This window comes from Homo sapiens, unplaced genomic scaffold, assembly GCF_000001405.40.
Source record: "Homo sapiens unplaced genomic scaffold, GRCh38.p14 Primary Assembly HSCHRUN_RANDOM_CTG1".
Classification (NCBI taxonomy): Eukaryota; Metazoa; Chordata; class Mammalia; order Primates; family Hominidae; genus Homo; species Homo sapiens.
In genome coordinates this window covers 25,906-31,945 of record NT_113901.1, presented here as the reverse complement: position 1 = coordinate 31,945, position 6,040 = coordinate 25,906, and positions in this window count along the sequence as shown.

Here is a 6,040-nt window from a genome sequence, read left to right as displayed (position 1 = left end):
GAGATGTTGTTTCATAAAGACTCTCAGACCTTTTGTCACAGGGCTACAGGACTACAATCCCAGGATGCATCGGGATCAAAGCAGTATGCGACACGGGGAAAAGATGCGGAGCTGTGTGCGTCTCCCTAGGTCTTCTGGGAGATGTGGTCTCTTGGCCCTTTGGTCACAGGGCTGCAGGACTACAATGCCAGCATGCAGCGGGTTCATGGACAGTGTGTATCACTGGAGGAAGACGTGGAGCTGTGCGTGCCTCGCTGGGCTTGCAGGGAGATGCAGTCTCATAACTACCCCAGTCGTTTGGTCGCAGGGCTGCAGCAGTACAATTTCAGCATATCTCTGGCTCAGGGAGAGTGCACTAGTCACTGGAGGAAGAGGTAGGTCTGTGCGCACCTCTCTGGGCTTGCTGGGAGAGGTAGTCTCATAAACACTACCAGCCCTTTCATCACATCGCTGTAGGACTACAATTCCAGCATGCACGGGGCGCCGGGGCAGTCCGCCTCACTGGAGGAAGAGAAAGACGTGTGAGCGCCTTGCTGGGCTTTCTGGGAGATGTTGTCTCTTTATTTCTCCCAGCCCTTTGGTCACAGGGCTTCAAGACTACAATCCCAGCATGCATCCTGCTCAGGGACAACGCGCGTCACTGTAGGAAGAGGTGGACCTGTGCTGTTCTCGCTATGCTTTTTGGGATACGTATTCTCGTAAACACTCCCAGCCCTTTGGTCACTGGGCTGCATCACTACAATCCCAGCATACATCGGGATCAGGGAGAGTGCGCTAATCAGTGGAGAAAGGGGCGAGGCTCTGCACACCTCGCTGGTCTTGCTGGGAGATGCAGTCTCATAAACACTCCCAGCCCTTTGGTCACTGGGCTGCAGCGCTACAATCCTAGCATGGACCGGGCGCAGGGAATGTGCGCGTCACTGGAGGAAGAGGCAGGGTTGTGCACGCCTCTCTGGGCTTGGTGGGAGTTGCAGTCTCATAAACACTCCCAGACCTCTCATCACCGGGCTGCAGGACTACAATCCCAGCATGCACCCGGCTCAGGGAGAGTGCGCATTACTGGAGGAAAAGTCTAGGCTGTGGATGCCTCCTTCTGCTTGCTGGGAGATGTAGTTTCATAAAGACTCCCAGAACTTGTGTCACAGGGCTGCAGGACTACCATCCCATTATGCACTGGGGTCAGGGACACGGCCCGTCAGTGGAGAAAGAGGCGGGTCTGTGTGCGTCTCCTTCGGCTTGCTGGGAGATGTATTCTTATAAACACTCCCAGCCCTTTGGTCAAAGGGCTACAGGACTACAATCCCAACATGTGCCAGTCTCGGGGGCGAGGTACAGGCCTGGAAGAAGGGGCAGAGTGGTACACGCCCCACCTAATATGCTGGGAGCTGTAGTCTGTTAACTGCTCTCAGCCTGTTTGTCGGTAGGCTTCAGAACTATAATCACAGCATGTACCGGGACCCGGGGTGCATAGCCCTGGAGGGAGGGGCAGAGCGGTGTGGACTTCCCGGTGTCCAAAGCACTGCTGAGTTCTTATGCTATGCCGACTCTTTGCCAAGGAGAATGAGTACATAGGTGGACCTAGAGGACAGGTCTGCGCTGAGCATTGAGGAGGGTATTACCCTACATAGGCACCTTACCTTTGCCCAAATCGGGCGGGTTGTCCTCAACTGATTGGCCCTATCCTTCTCAAGTTCCTCTTTCAGCTGCACCCAGGGTTCTTTCCAGAGCATTGCGCCTTCTGCAGCCCAGGGCGCTACCTTCTTTCCTAAACTGCTGTGGAAACTGTCCTGATGTCTGAGACACTGTCCATTGTGCCGCAGCCCTCTTTTTTCTCTAGCCAAGCCTCATGCTCAACAGCTTTTGAGAGAAATCTTCCACGTGGCCTGCTTATGAACAGCTTCAGAATTCTGTAGGGGGTGACAAGGTCTGTGGCTTCCTGGAAATGTCACTCTCAATGGCGCCTTTTTCACGAATGTGAAAGTTGAGGCATCAGGAAGGTTAATTATTGGGTTGCACAAAATCTGCTAAGAGCAAAGGAGAAAACCCCATTTCCGAGGCATGAGTCTTGTGAGCCATTTTCATCAACCCATTTAAGTGGACAAGCTCCAAAATGAAACCTGAAGCTGCTGACTATTTAGGCATTTTACACTTGAAATCATCGGTCTCATCTCAAGTCACTCCTGACTTGCCAGTGTCTCAGAAACACAAATGGGACCGGATCCCTCAGGAGCAGATAGTGTTCCAGCTTTGTTGGAGCGACATTTAAGATGTGGAGCACTTGGGGTCGTTTGAAACCCGCTATCTTCAGTAGGGACTTTTACTTCTAGAGAACATGTGCATTTTGATTTTATCTGTCCTCAAACTGAACTTTTGCTCATTTTAATAGTAAAAACACATTCCTAGGTGGAGACTTAAGATGCTAATGAGACATGCAATGTATGCACAAATATGTACAGTTAGTGCACATGTGCACCCAGAAGACCACTCAAAACATGCTTACACTAACACTTCTTTCCACCTTCTTATGAATAATCGTGCAAAACCCCCAGAAGGAGGGTTTCTCCAGTAACAATTAATGGTGTCTCACTCTTATGAGCAGCCTGCCCTGCAATCTCTTTCTCAGAATGTACCGTCTATTCTGCACTTAATTTTCAAAGTAGTCTTTTCTTTTTTTGTGTGCAATAAATTACTCTATGCTGTACTTCTTTTGCTGTGTGTTTCTTGTTTGAATTCTTTTAAACTAAGAAAATAAGAATCAAGGTATTACATCAGCCATCAACATTTCTTTTGCCATGGCCTGGAGAGAGGTCTGTCCGCTTCACTGATTTCACTTTCCCTTTACTTGCCGTGAATACTGTGGCACTTCCAGACTACCTGGTTAACTATCGCTGGTTCTTCCAGCACTGTTTCACTAAAGTTCTGGGGAAACCCTGTCCCTTTAGGCTTTATGCATTTCCCAGCTCCTTGAAATTGTTCTTCAACAGGCTTTCTTTGCTGAACAAAAGATGCACAGTCATGGATATGCCCAGTCATAGGGATTGAATCTGAGCATTGCAGGTGTTATAATTGGGCATCATAAATGGCAAACCACTGAATTAGGGAAAGGCTTGTCAGCCAGACATCTGCTCCCCAGCGAGCAGTGGGGGTCATCTCGGCAGGGCTGGAGATGTCCAGCGCTGGTGAGAGCTAGGACGGTGCATGGCAAATGCCTATGACCTCCTAGAGCTTCAGTTAATGGGGTTTCAAGGGGATGAGTTGGACAACTTGGTGGTTCCACTTGGCTCATGGGGCTGCCCACAGCCTCCTGGACTTTAGTACATGTTCTGTCGTTTGCAGGATTCTCTCGGCACCATGGGAATCACTTCCTCTACTGTCACTGAAACACACCTGGGATGTATATTTAAAAATTGAAACAGCTTTTGGCTAAATGAAGCAAAAAAACAATTATCTTCTTTTGTAAAACTATTTAGCCTGCATACAGATTAGCTGACAAAACATGGCTGGAGAATGAGACTGTGAAATTTAACACCATCATACAGCTAGATCTTTTCTGTAGTAATCAGGGAAAATGGTCTGAAGTATCCTATGTGCAAGACTTTCTGGCCCGACAACAAAACCCAGCTCCATGCAGCACCTGTGGGCTAAAGCCTAGTAAGCCACAAAGCCCCTCAGATCCATTAGAAGATCATTTGTTTTATGGGCAAGTGACCCCAGACCCCACAGCCTAATACCAGCTCCAGATAGGGGCCCTCAGAGGCCTACACCTGCTTTAGAATCCCCAGCGTCCCCACACTATCAGAGTCTTCTGTAGAATCTAAGCTTGTTTCATCTCCTCCTTATGCTCCTCTATCAGCCTTTGCCAGTTACAATAGAGACCAGTCCAGCTGCAGTTACTCACAGTGGAGCTTCACACCATGCAGGGCCAGAGAATTTGATCCGCTTACAGAAAGTCTCAAATGGAGAGAGGACCATCAGAGTGCTTCTTCTCTTCCCAGTAAATGATCTAATCCAATGTAAGCAACAGCTCTGATGGCTCTCAGACAACTTCAGCGCGTTTACTGAAGCCTTCCAGTCTCTAACTTTGACCACCATTCAACTTTACCATCCATAAATGGACCCAATGACTGCTGCCAACTCAGCTGCACAAAACTTTTTCTTATTTGCGAAAAATAGAAAAGACTTAAAACTTTTGCTGCTTTCACCATTTTAAAGCAGAATACTTTTGCAGCACAAATGTCACCATAAGGTGGATCCTTGGGAATCCAGTACAAACTATCTCAGAAAATCTCAGTGTGTCCCCAACAGGCAGCAGAGGGCCTCAATAGACTTCAACAACGTCTGGACTCCATGGCCACTGTATTCCAACAAAATCAAAGAGCCTGGGATCTTCTCCCAGCCAAGCAAAGAGGAACAGGTTTATATCTAAAAGAAGAATGCTGTTTTTTGAGATCAATCAGTCTGGTTTATTCCAAGAAAATATTAATAATATCATCACCCAGGCAGACAAAATTGAATCTCTAGGAACTTCCATGGGAACATGAAAGCAATGTCCATTGCCTGCCTTGCTCTCTTTAATAGTACCCGTCATTATTATATTTTCAACTTCTACTTTTGTTCCAATTTTGTTTAAAATGTTAACTGATTTCCTGCTATGTTGCTTGTGGCAACTCCATGTTTGCATGATGGTTTGCAAGGCTTTCAATCTTTGGCTGCCAACATCTTCCCACTGGTTCCACGAACGACATGGTTTACACCCTGTTAGATCACACAGGAAGAAACTTTAAGGCCCAGGCTAGGCAGAAGTAACACCCACTCAGCAGGAAACAGCTCCAGAAAAAGTGGTCTAACCCCTCAACCTCCAATATGGTTATTGCCCTAAAATCTCTTAGGGGGAAATTGAGGCAGAATAGATAGTACAGAAAATGACCATGATCTCGGGATAGAGAAACCATGGTGACTGTACAGCCAAAACAATAAGCCTTAGCATTCGCATTGTAATTTGGCTTATTCGAGCAAAGCTATCCTCATTAAGGACTTTCTGTTCTAGAGAGCATGTGTATTTTGATTTTACCTGCCCTCAAACTTAAATTTTGCTTATTTTAATAGCAAACAATGCACCCCCTAGCCAGGCACGGTGGCTTATACCTCTACTCTCAGCACTTTGGGAGGCTGAGGAAGATGGATCACTTCAAACTAGAAGCTCGAGACTAAACTGGCCAACATAGAGAAGCCCCGTCTAAATTAAAAATACAAAAATTAGCAGGGTATGATGGTGCATGCCTGTAATCCCAGATACTCAGGAGGCAGAGGCACGAGCATGGGTTGAACTCAGGAGGCAGAGGTTGCAGTGAGCAGAGATCACACCACTGCACCGCAGCTTGGGCAACACGGCGAGACTCTGTCTCAAACAAACAAACAAACACACAGAAATACACTCCTGGGTGGAAATATAAGATGCTAACGAGACATGCAACATATGAACAAGCATGTACAGCTACTGCGCATATGCACCCAGAATACCACAGAGAACATGTTTACTAGCAACTCCTCTTCCCTCCTCCTTATTAATAATAATGTAAAACTGCCATAAAGGGGTTTCTCCAGCGACAGTCCACGCTGTCTCACTCTTATGAGCAGTCCGCCCTGGAGTATCTCTCTCAGGGTGTACTGTATTCTGCACTTAACTTTCAAATATTTTCTTTTCCAATAAATTATGCTGTACTTTTTTTCTTTGTGTCTCTTGTTTAAATTCTTAAAATCTAGGAAAACAAGAACAGAGGTATCACATCAGTTGTCAACACAGCAATAAGTCAGCCTCCTTCTTGTAAGCATAGCCCATGTAGAAAAGGAGAGTCGCATCACCTCGGTGCTGGATCCAGAGGTATGTCACAATTTATCCCATGCACAAAGTTAAGGTCATTGAGGAGAGTCATATTAAATAATTTCTGGGCCCAGGGATTTGTCACAACAGCTCCTGTGAGAAGAGATGAGGCAGCATAATCACATAACCGGTGTGCTGGACACAGCGATAAGCCACCTT